Source organism: Homo sapiens, chromosome 15 (genome assembly GCF_000001405.40).
Source record: "Homo sapiens chromosome 15, GRCh38.p14 Primary Assembly".
Taxonomy (NCBI): Eukaryota; Metazoa; Chordata; class Mammalia; order Primates; family Hominidae; genus Homo; species Homo sapiens.
This window is the reverse complement of record NC_000015.10, coordinates 42,737,771-42,763,696: the sequence shown is the minus strand read 5'-3', so window position 1 is coordinate 42,763,696 and position 25,926 is coordinate 42,737,771. Positions and strand designations below refer to the sequence as shown.

Below are 25,926 nucleotides of genomic sequence, written 5' to 3'. Positions count from 1 at the left end.
GTTATAATTGGCACATAATAATCATACATATGTATGAGGTACATAGTGATGTCTTGACACATACAATGTATAGTGACTAGATCAGTGTAACTAGCATCTACATCATCTCAAACGTTTATCATTTCTTTGTGTTGGGAGCATTCGATATCCTTTCTTCTATCTATTTGAAAATATATATTATTGGGCCAGACGCAGTGGCTCATGCCTGTAATCCCAGCACTTTGAGAGGCTGAGGCAGGTGGATTACCTGAGGTCAGGAGTTGGAGACCAACCTGGCTAACATGGTGAAACGCTGTGTCTACTAAAAACACAAAAATTAGACAGGCGTGATGGGGCATGCTTGTAATCCCAGCTACTTGGGAGGCTGAGGCAGGAGAACTGCTTGAACCCAGGAGGTGGAGGTTGCAGTGAGCAAAGATCGCACTCTGTGCTCCAGCCTGGGTGACAGAGTAAGACTCTGTCTCAAAAAAAAAAAAAAAAAAAAAAAAAAAAAAAAAAAAAAAATATATATATATATATATATATATATATATATATATGTATATATATATATGTATGTATATATGTATATATATGTGTATATATATATATACGTATATATATATATATATAAAATTGTTAACTGTAATCATCCTATAGTGCTATGGAACACTAGAAGTTATTCCTTCTCTCTAGCTGTAATTTTGTATCCTTTAACAAATCTTTCCCTATCTCCCCGTTCCCGCTACTCTTTCCAGCCTCTAATAACCTCTCTTCTACTTTTTACTTACGTAAAATCAACTTTTTTTTAGCTTCCTCATATATTAGTGAGAACATGCGGTATTTGTCTTTCTTTGCCTGGCTTATTTCATTTAACATAACAGCCTCCAGTGCCATCCATGTTGCCATGAATGACAGGATTTTATTTTTTATGGCTGAATAGTATTCCATTGTTTGTTTATACCACATTTTCTTTTATTTATTTATTTATTTATTTTTTGAGACAGCATCTCACTCTGTCACCCAGGCTGGAGTACAGTGGTGGTGATCTTGGCTCAGTGCAGCCACCACCTCCCGGGTTCAAGCAATGCTCCTGCCTCAGCCTCCTGAGTAGCTGGGACTACAGGCACATGCCACCATGCCTGGCTAATTTTTGTATTTTTTGTGGAGACTGGGTTTCACCATGTTGGCCAGGCTGGTCTCGAACTCTGACCTCAGGTGATCCACCTGCCTTGGCCTTTCAAAGTTCTGGGATTACAGGCATGAGCCACCGTGCCCGGCCGCTATACCACATTTTCTTTATCCACTCATCTGTTGTTGTACACTTGGGTTGATTCCATATCTTGGCTATTGTGAACAGTGATGCAGTAAACGTGAGTGTGCAGATATCTCTTCAATATACTGATCTTCCCAGTAGTGGGATTGCTGAATTGTATGGTAGTTCTATTTGTAGTTTTTTGAGGAACCTACATACTTTTCTCCATAGTAGTAACTGTACTAGTTTACATTCCCACTGTATTACTCTGTTCTCATACTGCTGATAAAGACATACCCAAGACTGAGCAATTTACAAAAGAAAGAGGTTTAATTGGACTTACAGTTCCACATGGCTGGGGAGGCCTCACAATCATGGTGGAAGGCAAGGAGGAGCAAGTCACATCTTACATGGATGGCAGCAGGCAAAGAGAGCTTGTGCAGGAAAACTCCCCCTTATAATAACCATCAGATCTCATGAGACTTACTCACTATCACGAGAACAGCATGAGAAAGACCTGCCCCCATGATTCAGTTACCTCCCACTGGGTCCCTCCCACAACATGTGGGAATTCAAGATGAGATTTGGGTGGGGACACAGCCAAACCGTTACACCCACAAACACTGTATTTGAGAGTTCTCTTTTCTCTGCATCCTTGCCAGCATTTGTTATTTTTTTGTCTTTTTGATGATAGCCATTTTTACTGGGGTGATACAATATCTCATTGTGGTTTTTATTTGCATTTCCCTGATGACTAGTGATACTGAACATGTTTTCATGTATTTGTTGGCCATTTCTATATCTTCTTTTGAGAAATGTCTGTGTAGACCATTTGCCCATTTTCTAATGAGATGTTTTTCTTTCCTTTTTTTTTTTTTTGGCTGTTGAGATGTTTGAGTTTCTTAAATATTCTGGATATTAATCCTGTTAGATGAATAGTTTGTAGATATTTTCTTCCATTTTGTAGGTTATCTTTTCACTCTATTGACTGTTTCCTTTGCTGTGAAGAAGGTTTTCCTTTGCTATCATCCCATTAGATGAATAGTTTGTAGATATTTTCTCCCATTTTGTAGGTTATCTTTTCACTCTATTGACTGTTTCCTTTGCTGTGAAGAAGGTTTTTAGTTTGATATAATCCAGTTTATTTTTTTGTTGCCTGTGCTTTTGAGGTCTTATTCATAAAGTATTTTCCTAGACCAGTGTTCTGAAACATTTACCCTATGTTTTCTTCTAGTAGTTTTGTAGTTTCAGGCCTTGCATTTAGGTCTTTAATCCATTTTGAGCTGATTTTTATATAAGGTGAGAGATGGGGGTCTAGTTTCATTGTTCTGCATGTGGATATCCAGTTTTCCCAGCATCATTTATTGAAGAGACTGTTCTTTCCCCAGTGAATGCTGTGGTGCCTTTGTCAAACTCAGTTGGCTGTAGATAAATGGATCTATTTCTGGATTCTCTGATCTGTTCTGTTGGTCTATGTGTCTGTTTTTATGCCAGTACCATGCTGTTTTGGTTACTATAGCTTTGTAGTATAATTTGAAATTAGGTAGTGTTATACCTCCAACTTTTGTTTTGTTTTCTTTTGTATTTTTGCTTAGGATTGCTTTAGATATTTGGGGTCGGATTGTTTTTCTATTTCTGCAAAAAATGTCATTGGTATTTTGATAGGGATTGCATTGAATCTGTAGCACTTCAGATACTATAGGCATTTAAACACTATTAATTTAGCAATATTAATTCTTCCAATACAAGAGCATGAGATACCTTTCCATTTTATTGTATGTTCTCTTCAGTTTCTTTCATTAGTATTTTCTGGTTTTACTTGTAGAGATCTTTCACTTCTTTGGTTAAATTTATTCCTAGTTATTTTATTTGTTAAGCAAACAAATAAAATACAGAAAATCTAGTAGATCCTGTAGGTTTTCTTCATTAAAAAATTTTATTTTTGTCTGCCTGAGTTATTCAAAAGACCTGTCTTCCAATTCAGAAATTCTGCCTGGTCTAGTCTGTTGTTGAAGCTCTCAATTGTATTTTTTATTTCATTCATTGAATTCTTTTTTTGTTTTTTTTTTTTTTTTTTTGAGATGGAGTCTCACTCTGCCACCCAGGCTGGAGTGCAGTGGCATGATCTCAGCTCACTGCAACCTCTGCCTCCTGGTTCAAGCAATTCTTCTGCCTCAGCCTCCTGAGTAGCTGGGATTACAGGTGCCCACCACCACACCTGGCTAATTTTTGTATTTTTAGTAGAGACAGGGTTTCACCATGTTGGCCAGGCTGGTCTCAAACTCCTGACCTCAAGTTATCTGCCCACCTTGGCCTCCTAAAGTGCTGGTATTATAGGCGTGAGCCACCACACCCGGCCCATTTAATTCTTTAGTGCTAAGATTCCTTTGGTTCTTTTTTATGATATCTATTTCTGTTGAATTTCTCATTGAAATCATGAATTGTTTTTCTGATTTAACTGAATTGTCTATCTTTATTCTCTTATATGTCACTGAGTTTCTTTAAAATTATTATTTAGATTTTTTTCTGGGATTTTGTATAATTCCTTATGATTGGGGTCTTTTACTGGAGAATTATCATTCCTTGGGTGTTGTCATATTTCCTTGCTTTTTCATGTTTGATGTGTCCCTATGTTGATTTCTATGCATCTGGTAGAACAGTTGACTCTCCAAATTTTATGGAGTAGATTTCACAGGGAAATACTTGGGTCTTGGGGTATCAGTTGGGTGTGGTGCCTTTGCTTTGATGCTAGGTGGATGCAATAATGTAGTCTTCATGCAATTTCTTCAGCTGTAACCCATGCTGGTGATGTTTGCAAGTGTCTCTGTGGCCTAAGGTGAGAGTTTGTGGCAGTGTTGGCATGGTTTTTCTGGGTATGGTCTCACCAGGCTGCTTCTCAGGTCAGGGTCTGCATGTGCAGACAAGTGGGTCAGCCAGTTTGGAGTCTGGCTCACTGGGGTTGGGGCCACAGTGCTGTTACTCTGGCCAGGGACATGGGCTCATGGCTGCTGGGCTGGGCTGGGAGGCACACCTGCCAGGGGCAGGCTCAGCAGGCTGTTTCTCAGGTCCAAGGCGCAGGTATGCAGCCGCTCAGCTGGCCTGGGGGTGTATCTGCCAGGAGCTGGCCTGAGCCAGCTGTCCCTGAGTGCTGGCAAATACACTGACCTGAAGGTGGGTCAGCTCCTCAGGGGTTTGGAAGCCTTTCCTGCTCAAGGGTGTGTCTGCCCTGTGTGGGACTGCCAGACTGTTTCTCTACCTGGAAGTGTGCATGGCAGGGGTTAGTTTTCCTGCTGTGCAGGACTCAAATCACAGCTGATCCTGAGCCCAGGCTCCAAGCAGTCAGGGTCATGACATTGTAGCCACCAGCCACCTGTGTGAGCTTGAGGGAATGAAGATGGAGTCCAAGGGCTGGACAGGTGCAGTGGCTTCTGGCCCCCAGAACAGGGTACACTCCAGAAGTGGCTCTGGCCTTAGGGTGGCATTAAGCTGTGGCAGCTTGGCTCATGGGTGGGTGGGAATGCTTACCTTGTTCTCCTAATCTGGAGCAAAGCAGCTGTGTGAATTTTTAGCAGCTCTCCAAACTAGGCTCCAGGCTCCAGGCTCGCTAGGACTGTTGGTTTCTCTTGTAGTAAGGATTGTAGGTGTTTGCAGTGGCAGTGAGGGCTGATGAGGCTGTTCTGCTTACCTTTTTCCCACAACAGGAAGTCCCTCCTGACTCCAGCCCAATCTGGGCTTGGGTAACGGGGTGGCAGAGGCTGGGTGCCTCCATGCTGCCTTCTTGGGCTTCTTTTTTTTTTTTTTTTTTTTTGAGATGGAATCTCACTTTGTCACCCAGGCTGGAGTGCAATGGTGCGATCTCGGCTCGCCACAACCTCTGCCTCATGGGTTCAAGTGATTCTCCTGCGGCAGCCTCCCAAGTAGCTGGGATTACAGGCATGTGCCACCATGCCTGGCTAATTTTGTATTTTTAGTAGAAACGGGGTTTCTGCATGTTGGTCAGGCTGGTCTTGAACTCCTGACCTCAGGTGATCTGCCTGCCTCGGCCTCCCAAAGTGCTGGGATTACAGGCGTGAGCCACCGCGCCCAGCCTATAATTTTCAACATTTCTATAAAGTATTATATAAAGCTGCTTTAGACAAAAAAGGTCTATGGTAGAATTTGAATGGCTAAAATTTAACTTCTTAATAGGCCAGGCTGTATTAGGTACCAATACATTATTCTATGTATATCTCTGCTCAATTATTTGTCTTTGTCAACAAACAAAAATGAGACATAGAAATTTCATATACCACATTCTTTTCATTTGGAAGAAAGGCTATTTGGAATGGATGTTGAATTTCGCAGTTTTTATTATCTTAGTAACATTACAATCCTTGAATGAGAGAAAAGTAAAAGGATAATCTGTAAGTTAAAATGCAAATGGTAGTTGGTTTGCAGCTCATTGTTTCTCACTAGTGGCTAGTTTGAAACATGGGGTGACTGAAAAATAGTGAGGCTGCTTTACCTGAACTATTAAATAAGACACTAATTTTGGTCAAACAGTACTAGGCACTAATAGAACTAAGAAACTATGAAAGAAATGGAAAATATTGAGATCCTTTTCTAATTCTTTAGAAGGATGTACATGGTACAATTACAGAACAGAAGAAAGGAAATGATTGATTAATGCCATAATGAAATGTTTGTGAATTATGGAAATTAAAGATATAAAAGATGCATATGGCTTACTGGCAGATTATTTATTTGGTCCATTTGTAGAGCGCCCCAAGTATGAGAACTGCTTTTATGTCTTTATAGTTTAAGGAAGCTCTTTGCAGCTACACTTAGAATTAGCTTTCTCTTCTCTATACTCAACTACTGATCCTAGGTTTTCTCCTTTTATTTTGTCAGATAATGTTATTGCAGACTCAGTTTCCCTGACTTTGAGAGTGTGTAGTACATGTCAGTAGGCTGTACTGTGCTGTGCACAACTTTCAAAATCCTGAAGTCCTATCTATGACTTCTTGGCTGTGTTTTTCCTCATTTGTGAATTTGTATTAGTAATAGTACTCTAACCGGGCACAGTGGCTCATACCTGTAATCCCAGCACTTTGGGAGGCCTAGTCAGGAAGATCTCTTGAGCCCAGGAGTTCAAGACCAGCCTGGGCAACATAGTGAGACCCTGTCTGTGCAAATTTTTTTTTTTTTTAATTAGCTGGTGTGGTGCTACATGCCTGTAGTCTCAGCTACTTGGGAGTCTGAGGTGGAGGGATTGCTTGAGCCCAGGAGTTAGAGGCTGCAGTGAGCTGTGATTGCACCACTGCACCTAGCCTGGGCGACAAAGCAAGACTCTGTCTCTAAAAATAATAATAATAATTAAAAAATGATAATAGTACCTGATTAAAATATAAAGAAGCTATGAAATGGGGTTTGTAAAAATGATCTGGGAAATATGAAATTTAAAGTACTATGGAAATATTATATGAGAGTAGTTTATGCACAGTTTATCATAATTGCTCAGAATCTTTTCAAGAAAAATTCTCCCATCTGGTGATTCATATATATTTTTATTGTTGTTGCTTTGGTGTTTTGTTTTTGTTTTTGTTTTTGTTTTTTTTGAGGTGGGGTATTGCTATGTTGCCCAGGCTGGTCTCAAACTCCTGGGCTCAAGCAATCTTCTGCCTCAGCCTCTTGAGTAGCTGGGATTACAGGTACAGGCCACCATGCTTGGGTCATATATATTTTCTATGTATAAAATTGCCACTCTTTTTTTTATACCATATGTATGTGCACATTTATATCCTGAATCTAAAATGAGTTAATCTCAGAACTGTAGAAATTAACCCTAGCTTCAATCTCAGAAGACCAATGGAGTTTTTTGTTTGTTTGTTTTGTTTTGAGACAGAGTGTCGCTCTGTTGCCCAGGCTCGAGTGCAGTGGCACGATCTTGGCTCACTGCAACCTCTGCCTCCCAGGTTCAAGCCATTCTCCTGCCTCAGCCTCCCAAGTAGCTGGTATTACAGGCACCCGCCATCACCCCCAGCTAATTTTTGTATTTTTAGTAGAGAGAGGGTTTCACCATGTTGGCCAGGCTGGTCTTGAACTCCTGACTTCAGATGATCCGCCCACCTCAGCCTCCCAAAGTGCTGGGATTACAGGCATGAGCCACCGTGCTTGGCCTGGAGTATTATTTTTATAGCACTGCTGTGTTCATTTTGACGAATGTACTTAGAATTACATGTAATAATTAGGTGACTGGTTTTTTTTGTTTTTGTTTTTCAGACAGGGTCCAGCAATCTGGCTCTGTCACACAGGCTGGAGTACAGTGGCATGATCTTGGCTCACTGCATCCTCCGCCTCCCAGGTTCAAGCAATTTTCCCACCTCAGCTTCCCGAGAAGCTGGGATTACAGGCGCCCACCACCATACCTGGCTAATTTTTTGTATTTTTAGTAGAGACAGGGTTTCACCATGTTGGCCAGTCTGGTCTCAAACTCCTGACCTCAGGAGATCAGCCTGCCTCGGCCCCCCAGAGCGCTGGGATTATAGGCAAGAGCCACCACACCTGGCCCGATTTTGAATATAGGTTATCATCTCCCTTGGTATTTGACATTTAATATAATTTCTTACACTTGCTTTTCTTATCATGGTCACTTTTGGGTGCATTTACTAAGAAGTAAATTTTGAAAAGTGAATTACTATAAATTTTAGATTTCAACATCACTTTCAAAATATACTAGAAAATTGCCATCTGTCTAAATATATTTTAGAATAATTAAAACAGAAATATGAGATAACTTCCTGAAGGAAAACAGTACCAATAGAACCTAATGCTTTTTCCCAAGGTCATTTTAGATTTGTGCTTATTCTAAGAGTTTAGCTCTAAACCCAAATTGCCTGTCTTGGATTAGCCTGAAAGATCCTCAGGACCGTGGTTGCATTTGGGAGCTATTCCAGGACATTAGTTAGGTGTTTTTTTTCCTGGGCTGGACTTAGGACAAGCTTTACATGTCAATGAGCTTTACAGATCCATGTCCAACTAATAGTATTCCTGACACAAAGTGAAATAGATCTGAACATCTTAGCTGACCCTGGAACCACATGGTTTCTTGGTGTCTTTGGACTAGAGATCGACTCTAAACTAAATCTCCTATGACTAATCCAAATTCATTTTGCATTGTATTCAGACCAATTTCTGTAGTTTTCCTAGAACTTAATGGGTCTCATTAAGTGATTTGAACTTACTTGATTTCTCAAAAAGACTGTTTTTCTTTATTAGTTTATATAGTTATTTTCAGCCTACTTACATGTCACTTTAGGTGACGTGAAAATAATAAAAACTTTAGGTATCTTAAGGAAGGACATTCTTATTAGATATTGAATCTTATTCATATAGAATTAAAATTACCTCAGTGGAAGGGGGGTAGATTTTCACTTCTCATAGGCTTGATTTTTTTTTTTTTTTTTTTTTTTCCTGAGATGGAGCTTCACTCTTATTGCCCAGGCTGGAGTACAATGGCACAATCTCGGCTCACCACAACCTCTGCCTCTCGGGTTCAAGCGATTCTCCTGCCTCAGCCTCCTGAGTATCTGGGATTACAGGCATGTGCCACCACGCCCAGTTTATTTTGTATTTTTAGTAGAGACGGGGTTTCACCATGTTGGCCAGGCTGGTCTCGAACTCCCGACCTCAGGTGGTCTGCCCACCTCGGCCTCCCAAAGTGCTGGGATTACAGGCGTGAGCCACCGCACCCAGCCCGCTTGATCTTTAAAAATTGGTCAGGTGTGGGCTGGGTGCGGTGGCTCACACCTGTAATCCCAGCACTTTGGGAGGCCGAGGTGGGTGGATCACCTAAGGTCGGGAGTTCAAGACCAACCTGACCAACATGGTGAAACCCCGTCTCTACTAAAAATACAGAAATTAGCTGGGCATAGTGGTGGGCACCTGTAATCCCAGATACTTGGGAGGCTGAGGCAGGGAGAATCACGTAAACCCAGGAGGCGGAGGTTGCGGTGAGCCAAGATTGCACCATTGCACTCCAGCCTGGGCGACAGAGCAAGACAACATCTCATAAAAAAATAAAATAAAATAAAATAAAAAATTGGCCAGGTATGGTGGCTTACACCTTTAATCCAAGCTCTTTGGGAGGCCAAGGCAGATGGATCACTTGAGCTCAGGAGTTCGAGACCAGCCTGGGCAACAGGTGACACCCCATCTCTACAAAAATGCAAAAATTAGCCAGATGTGGTGGTGCATGCTGTAGTCCCAGCTACTCGGGAGGCTGAGGTGGGAGGATCACTTGAGCTTGGAAAGCAGAGGTTGCAGTAAGCCAAGATCACACCACTTACACTTCAGTCTGGGTGACACAGTAACCGTGTCTCAAAAAAAAAAAAAAAAAGAAAACATTAGAGAAATCATGAAACATTAGTAAATACCTTTGTATGTCTTTACTTGTAGGAAGATATAATCCTAGTATTTAATAGAATTTATGGAAAACAACAAAATGCATGCAAATTTGGAGTTTTTCAATGAACAATTATTTGCCAATAATTTTTTCCTGTAATCCTGTATCTGGATTCTGGCAGAAAATAGATGGCATACTCAAAGGGACTTGGAGAGAATTTAATGTAAGGAATTTTTTACAGATGTATGGGCAGAGTTAAGAGAGCCAGTGGGACCAGTAACAGAGGGAGCCATTCCTACCATGAGTCCTGAAAGGGGAGTAGAAGTGGGTGTTCGCAGAACTTGGCGAGGGTAGTAGCTGAGAGAGAGGCCATAAGAAGGGAGCTGTGGCCAGGATAGTGGAATGTAGCTGTCACTAGTGCCACAGTCCTCAGTGGGGAAGCAAGGAGAATCATTACCCAGCCCCCTCTTTCCTCTAACCCTCTGATTGCCTGTTGGTGCCATCCATTGAGCAGATCTAACCACAAATCAGAAAGCCAGGAAACCCAGGTGGTGCAGTCTATAGAAATTAGTCTTCCAGGGCATACAGCACACCAAAGAAGGGGCAGGGATAAACCTACAGGGAGAGACTGTTCTGCACAGTTTCTGAGTAGGGTAGCTTGAGTGTCAATCATTGTTATTCAGAATTGTTCATTTTTCTTATAAGTTGGGCAGACCTGGTCAACATCTGTGTTCTTCCTATAAATTAGAATTGGAGATGTTAAATCTCAAAGCATGCATCTTTGTTGATATTTTACATAATTGCATTTTAATTTTTTCTTCCCCTTCTCCAGATTACAATTCCTAGACCTTCTGTGGCATCTACACAGTCAACTTCAGGAAGCTTTCACTGTGGTCAGCAGCCAGAGAAGAAAGATCTTCAGCCCATGGAGCCCACTGTGGAACTTTACTCTCCAAGGGAAAACTTCTCTGGCTTGGTTGTGACAGAGGGTGAACCTCCTAGTGGAGGAAGCAGAACAGATTTGGGGCTTCAGATAGATCACATTGGTCATGACATGTTACCCAACATTAGAGAAAGTAACAAATCTCAAGACCTGGGACCAAAAGAACTTCCTGATCATAATAGACTGGTTGTGAGAGAATTTGAAAATCTCCCTGGGGAAACTGAAGAGAAAAGCATCCTTTTAGAGTCAGATAATGAAGATGAGAAGTTAAGTAGAGGGCAGCATTGTATTGAGATCTCCTCTCTCCCAGGAGATTTGGTAATTGTGGAAAAGGATCACTCAGCTACTACTGAACCTCTTGATGTGACAAAAACACAGACTTTTAGTGTGGTGCCAAATCAAGACAAAAATAATGAGATAATGAAGCTTCTGACAGTTGGAACTTCAGAAATTTCTTCCAGAGACATTGACCCACATGTTGAAGGTCAGATAGGCCAAGTGGCAGAAATGCAAAAAAATAAGATATCTAAGGATGATGACATCATGAGTGAAGACTTGCCAGGTCATCAAGGAGACCTCTCTACTTTTTTGCACCAAGAGGGCAAGAGAGAGAAAATCACCCCTAGAAATGGAGAACTATTTCATTGTGTTTCAGAGAATGAACATGGTGCCCCAACCCGGAAGGATATGGTTAGGTCATCCTTTGTAACTAGACACAGCCGAATCCCTGTTTTAGCACAAGAGATAGACTCAACTTTGGAATCATCCTCTCCAGTTTCTGCAAAAGAAAAGCTCCTCCAAAAGAAAGCCTATCAGCCAGACCTAGTCAAGCTTCTGGTGGAAAAAAGACAATTCAAGTCCTTCCTTGGCGACCTCTCAAGTGCCTCTGATAAATTGCTAGAGGAGAAACTAGCTACTGTTCCTGCTCCCTTTTGTGAGGAGGAAGTGCTCACTCCCTTTTCAAGACTGACAGTAGATTCTCACCTGAGTAGGTCAGCTGAAGATAGCTTTCTGTCACCCATCATCTCCCAGTCTAGAAAGAGCAAAATTCCAAGGCCAGTTTCATGGGTCAACACAGATCAGGTCAATAGCTCAACTTCGTCTCAGTTCTTTCCTCGGCCACCACCAGGAAAGCCACCCACGAGGCCTGGAGTAGAAGCCAGGTAATGCTGTGTGCTCTCCCTGTGTTAAGTGTGTAACACCATTTCTATATCTGCTTTATTGTAGTCCACCAATGGCAACATTTCTGTGTTGCCCCCTTCTCAGTATCTTTCTTTCCTGCCTTTCCCAGGCCTTACAGCCTAGTGCAGTAGAAGTAATCAGATTTTTTCCAATTTATTGCGGTAAAATACACATAACATAAAATTTAGCATCTTTTGTTTCGTTTGTTTTTGAGACAGAGTCTCGCTCTGTCACGCAGGCTGGAGTGGAGTGACTCAATCTCAGCTCACTGCAACCTCTGCATCCCGGGTTCAAGAGATTCTCTTCTGCCTCAGCTACCCAAGTAGCTAGGATTACAGGCACCTGCCACCACACCAGGTTATTTTATTTTATTTTTTTAAACTAGAGACAGGGTTTCGCTATGTTGGGCAGGCTGGTCTCAAACTCCTGGCCCCAAGTGATCCACCTGCCTTGGCCTCCCAAAGTGCTGGGATTACAGGCTTGAGCCACTGTGCCCAGCTGTATCTTAATCATTTTTAAGTGTACAGTTCAGTGGTAGTAAGTACATTCACATTGTTGTGTTACACTTAATATTCTAAAGTTATAACACTTTCATTTGGATTTATATCAGCTTAACTTCAATATCATGCAGAAACTGCTCCTTTCAGTCTCCATCCCCACTCCTTTCAGCTGTTGATGTTACAAAATTACATCTTTATACATTGTGTGTTCAAACACATAAACTAATAATTTTTAAAATGCATTAATCTCTTAAATTATGTAAAAAACAAAATGTGGAATTTTAACTGTCCATGTGTTTGCCTTTATTAAGATCTTTATTTATTCATATGGCTTCAAGTTCCTGTGTGGCGCCCTTTCATTTCAACCTACAGGACTCCCTTTAGCATTTCTTGCAAGACAGGTCTGGTGGTAACAAACTCCCTTAGCTTTTATCTGAGAATGTCTTAATTACTGCCTCATTTTTGAAGGACAGTTTTGCCAGATATAGGATTCTTAGTTGACATTTCTTTTAGTATTTTAAAAGAAGTACTTTAAAGTACTAAAGTACTTCCAGCCTCAATGTTTCTGATGAGAAGTGTTCTGATAATTTTTTTGAGAATCTCAAGATTCTCTGTCTTTGTCTTTTGACAGTTTAATTATAATGTGTCTCATTGTGGGTCTCTGAGTTCATCCTACTTCGAGTTTGTTGAGCTTCTGGGATGTTGTATATTCATGTCTCTTATGACTTTTGGGGAGTTTGCAGGCTTTTTTTCTTTTTTTTAAGTATTCTCTCTGCCTCTTTCTCTTTTCTCCTTCTGGAACTCCCACAATGTGCATGCAAGTCTGCTTGATGGCCCCACAGGCCCTTTATTGTCTGTTTACTTTTCTTTACTCCTTTTTTTTTCTGTACCTCAGACTCAATACTTTCCATTGTCCTGTCTTCAAGTTTGCTGATTTTTTCTTCTGCCTGCTCAAATCTGCTCTCGAATCCATCTAGTGAATTTTTTATTTTAGTGATTGTACTTTTTAGTTCCAAATTTTTTTTGGTTCTTGTTAGGTTTTCTGTCTCTTATTTATATTTCCATTTTGTTCATACATTGTTTTCTTGACTTTCTCCGTGTCTTTCTTTAGTTTTTCAAGCATCCTTAAGAGAGTTGTTTCAAAGTCTTTGTCTAGTAGCTTTGCTATCAGGTCTTTTTCAGGTACAATTTCTGTTGATACATTTTTTTCTCCTTGGAATGGACCATCCTTTCCTGTTTCTGTGTAAGTTTTTTTATTTTTTTTGTTGAAAATTGGATATTTGAATCTAATAATGTGGTAACTCTGAAAATAAGATTTTCCCCTTTCTTCGGGATTTGCTGTGGGTTGTTTTTGTTTCTTTTTATTTTTGAGACAGGATCTCACTCTGTCACCCAGGCTGGAGTGCAGTGGAATAATCATGACTTATTGCAGCCTCTAACTCCTGGGCTCAAGTGATCCTCCTGCCTCAGCCTCCTGAGTATCTGGAACTACAGGTGCATGCCAGCACACCTAGCTAATTTGTTTGTTTGTTTTTTTGATGGTTGTAGACTGTCTCTGTGCTGAGGACCAGCCTGAGATGTAAACCTAAGGTCTCAGACCTTTTCTAAGCCTGTACTTTTTCCTGACTAAGCATAGTAGCTTTCTGATTTCCCCAGTATATGTGGTTGGTTTTGAATATACAAGTCTTTAATATCTGGCTCCGAAGAAGGGAAAAAAGAAAAATGAGGGAAGAAGAAAAAAGAGGACTGGCCCTTTTAATCCCCTAGCAGTCACTTCAGCCAGAGGAGAACCAGTTTGTAACAATGGGGAAAAATGTAAGAGTTACTACCTACCTCTTTCTCTGCTCTTCTGTGATCAGAAGCAGCAATGAGTAATCAGAGCACAGATCCCCAGTAATTGGAGGACAGGGTTCTTTTTGCCCACCTGGTTCTTGTAAGCTGTGTGCACACTGCTCCAGAAATAAGTGCACAGCTGCCTGCCATGGGGCCGGGAATGGGGGATGGGTAGCTGTTAACTGTGCTAAGATCTGAAATAGACTAAAATTAACTGTAATTGACAGTCCAAGCCTTCTCCTGGAAGTTGCAAGCCTTTGGTAGACTCCAGATTTCCAAGATAATTACATCAGACAGATTCTGCCAGTGCAGTTGCCTAGGTGGGGAGACAGATTCCTAGTGCTTCCTACTCTACTGTCTTCCCAGAATCTTCTCTGATCCAGGTTAATTTTTGGCTCTCCCACTTTCTAGCAGTAAGAACCTCCATTTCCTCATCTACGGAGTGGGCAAAATATTTGCTTAATAGTTTTGGGAGAATGAAACAAAGCCACAATCATCTAGGAGTTGGTACATTGCTTAGCATGTAATAAAGATTATGTCTGTCTCCAGTTGCATTTTGATGATCAGCAATTTTCTAGCTTTGTTCAGTCAGAATCCCATTATGTCCCATAATGCCATTATGATGTCAAATGCTAGTGAAGAATACGTTGTCCATGATTTGATAAATGGACCCTGGTAACAGTGCTGTTTATCTTGATTATAATGAATTAAACCAAAAAAATCCTATAGATTTCCCTAGGTCTGATGGTATATACAACCATACATAGTAAAGATACTGCTTTAGTATATACTGCATGCTATACTTTTTATTTAAATATTATCTTGATATATTTGACCACAGAATGTTTATATTTTGAGGAAGAGGGGAAAATATTGGGAGGTGGTAAACCAGTGAAGAGTGCTTTCCAGGGCCAAATGTGGTGGCTCACACCTGTAATCCCAGCACTTTGGGAGGCTGAGGCAGGCAGATTGCTTGAGCTCAGGAGTTTGAGACCAGCCTGGGCAACATGGTGAAACCTCATCTCTACAAGAATTAGCCAGGCACGGGTGCTACACAGCTGTATTCCCAGCTACTTGGGAGGCTGAGGTGGGAGGATCCTTCTATGAGTTGTTGTCTGTCTTCATGTCAAAACATTCTATTGGGTTAGTTTTTTTTTTTTCTTTTGAGACGGAATCTTGCTCTGTCACCCAGGCAGGAGTGCAGTGGTGCGATCCCGGCTCACTGCAACCTCTGCCTCTCAAGTTCAAGCGATTCTCCTGTCTCAGTGTCCCGAATAGCTGGGATTACAGGCACCTGCCACCACACCCAGCTAATTTTTTGTATTTTAGTAGAGATGGGGTTTCGCCATGTTGGCCAGGCTGATCTCGAACTCCTGACCTCAAGCTATCCACCCACCTCAACCCCCCAAAGTGCTGGGATTACAGGTGTGAGCCACCGTGCCCTGGGTTATTTTCTGTAACTAACCCCCTTCTCTGCAAATTATATTGAAGATATTTTATCCTAGTCTGAATTTTAACTTGGGTTGTAGTGCCTTTGGTTTGATAGAAAAGTTTAGTGTTCATGGAACTGAACATTTTTTATTAATTGTGTTTTATATCATGCATAGGAAGGTCCTTCAACCCTAATATTTTTTAAAAGGTAGTAATTTCCAGTACCCTTATAGTTTTGTGCTTTGTGTATAAATTTACTATCGATCTAAAGTGTATCATTATATATGATGTGAAGTTTTTTTCCAAGTAGTTAGTGATATTGCAATACTCATTTCCCATAGAAACATGGGGATCTTTTTGGATTCAATGCTCTGTTCCATTCATTTGTCTGTTCCTTTGCTGTACACTTTCCATTACCATAGTTTTATTATTAGAGGGGCCCTAGGGTCCTTCTCACTACGTAATTTGGCATTGCCACTAAAATATATTGTAGACTGCTTTATAGCAGGCCCTCCCCACCCCAGGGCTGCACGGCAGGAGGCATTACCGCCTGAGCTCCGCCTCCTATCAGATCAGCAGTGGCATCAGATTCCCATAGGAGCGTGAACCCTGTTGTGAACTGCACATGGGAGAGATCTAGGTTGTACGCTCCTTATGAGAATCTAATTAATGCCTGATGATCTGGGGTGGAACACTTTCATCCTGAAACCATCCTTGCCCCTCCTCCCCCCATCGTGGAAAAATTGTCTTCCACGAAACTGCTCCTTGGTGCTAAAAAGGTTGGGGACCACTGCTTTGTAGTTTATAAAAACACTTTTATATGTTCCATTTTCTTTGATTCTTAGGCCAAACCAGAAAGACATTTAGGACAAAGAAGACATTTGCTATTCATATGAATACTCTAAGAATTCTGAGGCCCAAGGGCCGGGGCACTACGGTTCATGCTTGTAATCCCAGCACTTTGGGAGGCTGAGACAGGAGGATTGCTAGAGCTCAGGAGTTTGACACCAGCCTGGGCAATGTGGCAAAACCGTCTCTACACAAAATATAAAAATTAGCCAGGCATGCACTACAGGTGCACACCTGTCATCCCAGCTACTCAGGAGGCTGAGGTGGGAGGATTGCATGAGCCCAGGAGGTCGAGACTGCAGTGAGCTGTGATCATCCCACTGCACTTCAGCCTGAGTGACAGAGCAAGACCCTGTTTAAAAAAAAAAAAAAAAAAAATCTGAGGCCCAAGCTCAGTTGCCAGTATGGAGTGGGCAGTCAGTTCCAGCCTCCACCCTCCTTAATCCCAGACTATTGACAGGAATAGAAACTGAGGTCCACAGAAACCAATGACTACTCTTTTCTCTTGTAAATTATTAAATGAGTTGAATGTACATTTATCTGTAGTTCCTCCTGTTGCTGAGTGTAGTTCATGTTGAAGACTTAGGGGTGACAGATCCTTGGCAGAAAAAAGAAAATTAAAAAAAAAAACACTTACATTGTGGGATTTCGTGTTTGTAGGATTCCTGTCCTAACATCCTTACACAGTATGGTTTACTCTCTGTCTTATGTGCTAACATGCTAGAGACAATTTAACATGCTAGTTAAATTCATCTGAAAATTAGCAGAATAAACATGGCATAGGAGGAAGGGAACGAATACCATTTAAGGGCTTCTTCATGGCAGATGTTCATCTACGTACTTGGGTCACTGCCCTTGGTCTGTTCAGTGACCCTGTGAGATAGACAGTATTCCCATTGAAAGCAGGGAGAGATTGAAGAATTTGTCCAGGGTCATACAACTAGTATATGACAGAGTAACCCTGTATCCTGTTAGTCTATTTTCTGATTTCTACACATTCACATTATGATTTTGGGACATTGTGACTTTTTAGGCACACTTGAAATGAATTAAAATTAAAATATATTTTCTCTGTTCTTTTAAGGCTACGCAGATATAAAGTCCTAGGGAGTAGTAACTCCGACTCAGACCTTTTCTCCCGCCTGGCCCAAATTCTTCAAAATGGATCTCAGAAACCCCGGAGCACTACTCAGTGCAAGAGTCCAGGATCTCCTCACAATCCAAAAACACCACCCAAGAGTCCAGTTGTCCCTCGCAGGAGTCCCAGTGCCTCTCCTCGAAGCTCATCCTTGCCTCGCACGTCTAGTTCCTCACCATCTAGGGCTGGACGGCCCCACCATGACCAGAGGAGTTCGTCCCCACATCTGGGGAGAAGCAAGTCACCTCCCAGCCACTCAGGATCTTCCTCCTCCAGGAGGTCCTGCCAACAGGAGCATTGCAAACCCAGCAAGAATGGCCTGAAAGGATCCGGCAGCCTCCACCACCACTCAGCCAGCACTAAAACCCCCCAAGGGAAGAGTAAGCCAGCCAGTAAACTCAGCAGATAGGAGCCAGGCTGCATCTCTTTGAAAGGTGTGAGATCTTCCTCCTAAACCTGATGCATGTGTGTCCCTGTACTTTCTATGTAAAAAAATCAGTGTTGATCTTCTCTTGCAAAAGAAAGTAACATGATCAATTATTTATAAGAAGACATAATACATGATAAGGAATTACCTAAGGCAGGCAGCAAGTAGATTAGGAATCAATGTCTTTGTACAAGAAGGAAAAATAGAGCAAAAATCCAAGGGGGAGAAACTCATTAAAATGAGCTCTCATTTTTTAAGCTGCCTTTGAAACAAAAGAGTTGAGGATAGGAGATAGAATGGAATTTTAGGGGGGTTGCCTAATTTTTTTAAGCCTCAATTCAAAGATTATATAGCAAAAGTGAAACTTCTTGTTTGATATTTTCATTCAAAACTTTCCCACCCTGAAGAGTCATTGATCAGATATTAGATTATATAAGAAGTCTGTTGCCAGGGAGCCAGTATTCATGTATATTTGGCTTGTGTGTTTATTTCGTGTATTGAGAATGAACACCTTTACTTTGCCTCATTCCTAGTACCCTCCCTGGAGTTCAGATTTTTTTTTAAAATTTTGTATGTCTCGTCTGATTCAATCTCTCTGCTTTTATTTTATGGTCCTAGTTGTACTATCAAATCCAATTACTTTTTTTTAGGTCCCCCTGATTTTTTTTTTTTAGAGCAAGAGTTCTTAACATATTACATTTTTATTATGAAAAATAAGAAAGTTAGGTAAAGGAAAGAAAAGTCTAACTAGAGCTATTTTGCAGGCTTTAGTGTTTAGGGAGAGAAAGAAAGTGTGGGTTAATAGCCTTCAAGATAGAAGATGCCCTTTCATCTCTGTTAAGTGTCCTCCTTTAGAAACTTGAGTAGAAGGAAAACTGACCAGAGTAGACTGCTTCCTTAAGTCTTCTGGGTTCCAACTGTTTGTAATATCAGCATCCAAGATGATACGAGGGAAGCACAATGCTTTGGACTGTGATTTGAGATTTAGAAATAAATTAGATATATTATTGAGGCTTAGAATCCTCAAACTTTGTATTTTATACATTTAGCCAATAAGGAATTAATATCTGGGGAAATAAATTTAGGCAAATATTTCTTTTTTAATGTTTTATTACCTGCTTCTCCTGTGTTTTAGTTCAACATTTGGGCTTCTTGGCCTGATTTTCATACAATCTCAATTTACGAAGCTGTAAAGAGGAAGATATTTGTTCTAATCTCACTCTTCTAATAGGAATCAGGCAAATGAAAGTCTACCAGACTTTTAAAATGGGCTGTTTTTATACTCTCTAGGTGTTTTGTGTTGTAAAGACCTTATTAAGGTCAGGTAAATTGGTCTGCTTGCTGTTGAAATTTGCCTTCTAGCAAACATATGTGCTTTCTGTTTGACCTTGTGTTTGCTGCCAAACCTAATACAGTTGAATTGGGAAACAAAAAAAAAAGAAAGGAATACATTTCCTCCCCAAGTGAACATCTTCTAATGCTGCATCAAAGCTGCCCTGAAGCTGCACTGAACTTCTCTTGTTCTCTTTATCTGTGTTGAGCTTTTTAAAAAAACAAACTCAAAACACTATTGAGGCATATAACGTCTCTTATAAGAAATGTAGCATAGTGTGGAATCTTAATTTCTCTCCAGTTTCAAACACTCCAGAGGAATGCAATAGATAAGACATACTTGCTGTTTATCTAAAGCAACTGTAATATTGGAAGATCAGTCCTTCTGTATTATATTGTATAATAGTTGCTATAACACTACTTGCATGTCTTCATGGTAAATTATATAAATATTTATAAATATATAGAGAGACATATCCTTATATAGAGTCATTCTTTGTCATTCTCCATTTGTAATTTCGAGATCACAGATGGCGAAATTCCTTTTCTATTGTGTGCCTCATGTACACTTGGGCCTTGCCTATCTTCATTTTCTGAAACTATGTTCTTGGCATGTGACACCTCAGAGTCTTCTTGCCTTCCCTGTGTACAATGCAAGGGTGGGCAGTATTTAACAAGCCAAGATAGGTTATTTAATTTTCATTTCAAAAAGATTTTAATAGGGAAAAAATTACAGGGACATGCTTGTAATACTGGTTCAGAGATTTGTCATGTTAATCACATAGTTCTCTCCTTATAGTTAGAGTGGATAAACTGGGATGATGATGAGTCTGACAGATTTTTAAAACATTTCTTAAAAATTGCCATTCTACTTTCCTCTTTTCATCTCACTTTTTTTGCAGGGGGTCGGGGGAATAATGAAGAAATTGTCATATTTCTGTTGCATTAGCTAAATTGTGCTAAAAGTAGCTAGCTTTAAATCCTGACCCCTTTAGTCGGAAATATGCTAGTAGTAATCATTGGAAAAGCTGATGAAGCTACAACTGTGGTACGTGTGTGTGATTTTATTTCTTATTGGCATTTCTCTGCTGGCAGTTGGAACTGACAGTGATGGGAATGTGGCAACTGAATGTTTTCTCTCTTTCTTGGTTCCTTCCATTTTTATCTCAACTTTTCTAGTGTGTTGTCCCCTTTTCTAAATGGCATTGACAAACTCATCAAGATCCAGAGATAAACAGTCCATCGTTTAAGAATATTTTATTTTGCATGTAGAGGAAAGAATTAACCAAAGACGTTTCTGCTCTGATACTTTCTAAAGAAAACAGACTAATTATATATAAGTGGTATCAATAGGTCTGCTTATAAGTATTGTCCTATGTAGAGATTTACTTTTTGGTTTTTACAAGCATAGTTTGCGCTTTTAGATGTCTCTCAGGTGAAAAATAGAAGTTGGCAGCCCTGAGCAAGCACCTGTGACACAGGGATTTTTATTTTAGTTTTAAAGTATGATACAGAGAATGAGGTTTTTGGTTTGATTTGGTTTGGTTGTGTTTTTTAGTTCTTTATTTTTTATTTGGGGGTTCTCTTAGTGATGGCATATTTCAGGTTTCAGTGACATAGATCAAGTAATTTTAAACCAATTTGGTTATTCTATCTAAGATGAGGGACATGGCTATTAAGGTCAAGCCAAACTATACTAAAAGTAGTATAGGGCAGCAGTTAAAATTATCTTTTGAAAATCAAGTATTACCTGGTTTCTTCTGTCACAACAGAATAGCTGGTTACCTAGTCAGTCACAGTTGCCCTTGCCTTCCCTTGTTAGTCCCTGGAGGTACTTGAGTGGAACAGAAGGTAGAATTAGCAACAGCTCAATCACTTTAGGTAGCATTTCTCCTGAATTCTGCTGCCAAATCCTCAGGGTCTATGGATTGGTTGAAATAGTAAAATCACACATAGTGATTTCTTGCACAGCGTAGAGGCGTTTAATTTTAGTGTATAGTGAACAAAGAAGGAAAACTGGGTCATATAAAATTTAACCTTAAAACACAGATTATAAATATCTTTGAATGTTAAGCCCTAGGCAGACAGACACTCTCATTCTTAACTCTGGTATGCAAGCTGGCCTTGCTGACAGTGGCATAGTTACATTAACTGTTTTTTAAGTTGCATGTTGTGATGTGAATGTTTTTTGTAAAAGTTGCCAAGTTAATCGAGTCCTAAATAAGTAGCCAAATGGTAACTGAGACCCACTGTAGACATTACTCGCTTTATATTATTTGCTTTCAAATACTAAAACCTCAGCTGCTAATTCAGCGCTCTAGGTGTACAGTGTCTCCTTCCCTTGGCTCCTAGCAATGTAGGGAACTTGAGGTTCTTCAGTATCTTCAGAGATTCCTTCCAGGCCACATATTTTTATGCTAATACTTCTATAGTTGCATTCAATCTACAAGGAGAAAGTGTACATTGGTGCATGTTTTATAAACCCAGACACAGATAGCTAAAACCATAATTAGTTTTTCTATACCCAGAGCTTTGAATTAAAAACAGATGCTTTTTTTTTCCCCAAGAGCAGACAGTTCTACATTCCTAACATTAGGAATTGGTGATACGAGAAGCAGGATCCAGAATTCAGAATGATTTAGTGAGACTCGGTGAAAAAAATGCATTTTCCCCTGGCTGTTTGAAAATTTACTTATTTGCAGATAAGTCTAGATTTAGTCTTGGAGATCAAAGTCTTTTATATTTTAAAAACTTATTCTTTATATTGATCAAACATGGCATATGTTAGAGAACCACTTCTTCTGTCATGTTTATGTATTTTGGAATTAAGTTGTTTGCATTCACTTTCAAAATCTGCCCATTTCTGTTTATGTGCACTTACCACAGATGTGTCGGGACTTTGCCTCAGGGGAGAGGTACTTTAGCACCTGTGTCACTGAGGAGATGGAGTGGTTGACAAGTACTGTTGCGCTGTGTAACTTGGGGTTTGGCCCTGTGGACAATATATTAGCAGAATGATACCACACAAAAGTATTACAGGATTAAGGCATGTAACTTCTATGGTAGTCCTTATGTATCAGCGTATACCCAAGTTCAGAAACCACAGGTGCATTTTTAGACCTTTACTTAGAGAACTAAAGGCAGTTCCAACCATCAGCCCATATGGCGGGATTAATGCATGAAAACCCTCAGAGGGTGTTGGGACATCCTACTTCCCTGTCCTCACCCAGTGGAACTCTGGTGTGTGCCTTGAGGATAAGGAAGTAGAGTGGAAACTCATCCTATCATTGAGTATTCTCAATATTTTGGCCTTCCCTCTGGAATTATGAGAAATTTAACAAAGTCTCAGGAACCTTTAGAATCCATTGTCCAACACTGCTAGAAAAACTGTAGGAGGTACATGGAGAATTCCTATAGTTCTTAGGTAAGTGCAAGACATGGCACAGGGATCCCTATCCACATAAAGGGGAATCTGGATGCTGCACACCTCAATTCTGAGAAATCCCTGACTGAACTTGGAATTATGACAGTAAAGTTTTCGTCCTTTAGTTTTCTAGAGCAGCTCACAGAAATTTTAAAAAGTAAAACAAGGCCAGGCGCAGTGGCTCATGCCTGTAATCCCAGCTCTTTGGGAGGCTGAGGCGGGCAGATCACGAGGTGAGGAGATCGAGACCATCCTGGCTAACAGGGTGAAACCCCGTCTCTACTGAAAATACAAAAAATTAGCTGGGCATGGTGGCGGGCGCCTGTAGTCCCAGATGCTCAGGAGGCTGAGGCAGGAGAATCGCTTGAACCTGGGAGGCAGAAGATTACAGTAAGCCAAGATCGCCCCACTGCACTCCAGCCTGGGCGACAGAGTGAGACTCCGTCTCAAAAAAAAAAAAAAAAAAAAGTAAAACAAAAATAAAGTCTATGCCCATTAAGACGTCTTCTAATTCAGTTGTGATTGTCTGCTCCTACTTAAAAAAATATTTAAGCTTGATGTTTAATTATTCCCTTTCAGCAAATTTGGATCAGAAAATTAAAGTATGTGACAAGATCAGGTCACCTTGAATTTCCACACAATCTCAAGACACTGAATAGCAAAAAAGTAACATTACACAGTAATGATTAGGATATTTCCTTAGACTTTGCTGGATCTTTGGTCTTAAGGTAACATGTAAAAGTAGTGAAGCCTTTCCTTTCATGGCCCTGTGCAATGTAACGGTTTTCTGCCTCCTCTTCAGCTGGAAGCGTTAGTGGTAGTATGGGCACAGAATATATGTACACTGGCGATGCTGACCATGCCTCCCAGGTACCCTGGCTCTGGGTTCCTTGACCTAGGGAACAAGATTGGATGAGGCAGATCTTTGAGCCCATGTGACTATAGAATTTGCTGATGATATAATTTTACAATAACAATGGATAGGAATTTTACCTCTCTTTTTATTAGTTTAATATTATTTAATATTATGTACATAAGTGTTCACTCGCCTAATTAAAAACATTGAGTAAACCAAGTTTTTATATAGACTACCCTTGCCATATGATGCTCTTTTTCTCTAATAATATGCAGTTTAAATCCTGAGGAATCAATGCCCAGCATTTCACCACATCTGAACTCTGTGTGGGCATTCTTCACTCGCCTACAAGGGGTAAACAAGGCTACCAGAACTTGAATTTGACTTATAGGGAGCTACCCAGGAAGGGGAAAGCCCTTGGGACTTTTTCCAAAACAATCTTCTATTTGAACTGTTCATCAGCCAAAGTAGTCCACTGAGGTGACAAAGCTTTCAGAAATACAAAGATGGGAAGATAAAGGTAACACTGGCCCACTTGGGGCTTTGACATTGGATTGGGTGGACTGAATAAACACAGCCTAGGTGGCCTGGGCTTGAGCCTCACTTACTTCTCCTTGATACATAGTTCCTGGTCTACCTTCTGACCCTTTTTCTAAAATAGCCAGTGTCTATTTCACTAGGCCATTTACTTACAAGTTCCCAGCTTTTAGGGAAAAAAGAGGGAGGGGGGAGCATCTAGTTTTGAATTAGATATACATCTTAGAAGTAATGAGCTATTGGCAGCTGTTAAATCAGATTCAGCCACAAACCAGAATTCTTTCTTGTTGAACAAGACCAATGAGTTAGATGACTTTAATAATTCCACTTTTCTCTCCCTCTCTTCTCCTCTTCCTGAAATCAGAGAGATGAGAAACTACTCTTTGAAATACCTCCAGAGGCGTTTTATTGTGTTCCTTTCCCCTCCAAGCAGCTCCCTTTATACAATTTTGCTCAGGCAACCAAGGACAGAGTATCGGCAGAAACATGGAGTGCTTTTGTATAGGCCACCTGTACATAAAAGTGTAATTATTTATTTAATTTTCCCATTTGTATCATATTAAAGCTTTGTACAGTGTTTTAAGTTCTGTTTTAAAATTATTTTGTATTTTATTTTTATAACCTAGTAATAAAATATTCATTCCGCATGCAAAATCTAGTTCTGTTTGTGTGATGGTCTGGATTTCAAAAGTGGAAAATATTTTTCTAATTTAATAAAGTTATTGAATACACCAGATGTTACAAGATCAACGGGGAGCAGATAGTGTTACTGTAAATGCAGTACCACATCTAGAAGTTCCCTAGAAAAAGCAGCCCAGGACTGAATAGAAGCTAGGTGTTAAGTGTCCCTGCAGTTAGGAGATGTTTTCCTGTAATAAAATTAAAATATTAAAAGCTCCTTTTTAGTCCATTATTCTGTCTGGCTGGAGGTACTTTTTCCTTCTCCATAGGAAATACCCCTTCTGCCACTAGAGAGATTCCTGCACCCCCACCCTCATCCTTCCGCCCGTAACCTTCCTTTGAACCAGAGCAACTCTCAGGAGGCATTCACAAGGGCACTGCCTCACCCCTCCTGGTTTGGTTTGACATGGAATGTTCGTGCCATCTGTTTTTCTCCGCTTGGATTCCCTTGCTTGATTTGTCACTGAGCAGCAACCTTCAAAATCCTCTCTCAGGTTTTTTTGTTTTGTTTTGTTTTTGAGATGGAGTCTCGCTCTGTCACCCAGGCTGGAGTGCAGTGGCGTGATCTTGGATCACTGCAACCTCCGCCTCCCAGGTTCAAGCGATTCTCCTGCCTCAGCCTCCCCAGTAGCTAGGACTACAGGCGCGTGCCACCACGCCCAGTTAATTTTTGTATTTTTATTAGAGACACGGTTTCACCATGTTGGCCAGGATGGTCTCCATCTCTCGACCTCGTGATCCGCCCACCTCTGCCTCCCACTGCATTCCAGCCCCGGGGGTGACAGAGCGAGACTCCATCTCAAAATAAAATTAAATAAAGGAGATTAAGAAATTACTCAGGCCGGGCGTGGTGGCCCACGCCTATAATCCCAGCACTTTGGATCTGCTGCCCTCTCCCGGCCAAAACATTAGCTGGGCTATAGCCCTAGGGAGGCTGAGTCGGGAGGATTGCTTGAGCCCAGGAGGCCAAGGCTGCAGTGAGCCGTGCTCACGCCACTGCACTCCAGCCTGGGCAACAGAGCAAGACCCTGTCTCAAAAAAAACAAAACAAAAACAAAAAACACCAAACCCAAAAATACAAACCTCAAGCTCCCAGAAGCTAATCATGATATGCTTACTGACATCTAAACTGCAAAGTAGTTGAAATATTAACCTCATGTAAACCCACTTAAGTAA

General features: G+C 40.7%; 1 protein-coding gene and 1 long non-coding RNA gene across 11 annotated transcripts in view, besides 1 other annotated feature; one reads left to right on the top strand and one right to left on the bottom strand.

Moving 5' to 3' along the window:
- The window catches only part of TTBK2 (tau tubulin kinase 2), a 182,271-nt gene extending 157,304 nt beyond the window's left edge, over nucleotides 1-24,967 (top strand). For all 10 annotated transcript variants that reach the window (XM_006720402.5, XM_047432189.1, XM_005254173.6 and 7 more), the window contains 2 exons: nucleotides 10,450-11,723; nucleotides 17,440-24,967. In XM_006720402.5, coding sequence (XP_006720465.1) covers nucleotides 10,450-11,723; nucleotides 17,440-17,902 — 1,737 coding nt within the window. In that variant the 3' untranslated portion in view covers nucleotides 17,903-24,967. The remainder of the gene's footprint in view (nucleotides 1-10,449; nucleotides 11,724-17,439) is intronic.
- Nucleotides 3,938-4,700: an enhancer, noted in NCBI's record as "H3K27ac-H3K4me1 hESC enhancer chr15:43051195-43051957 (GRCh37/hg19 assembly coordinates)". NCBI's record gives its function as "activates a minimal SCP1, AML or CMV promoter by ChIP-STARR-seq in naive H9 embryonic stem cells {active_cell/tissue: H9 hESC(naive)}" and the evidence as "EXISTENCE:reporter gene assay evidence [ECO:0000049][PMID:30033119]".
- On the bottom strand, nucleotides 20,495-24,579 carry TTBK2-AS1 (TTBK2 antisense RNA 1). The gene is made up of 3 exons (NR_186317.1): nucleotides 24,462-24,579; nucleotides 22,134-22,244; nucleotides 20,495-21,695 (listed from the first exon to the last, which is right to left on the bottom strand). It is a non-coding gene; the product is annotated as a TTBK2 antisense RNA 1 (long non-coding RNA).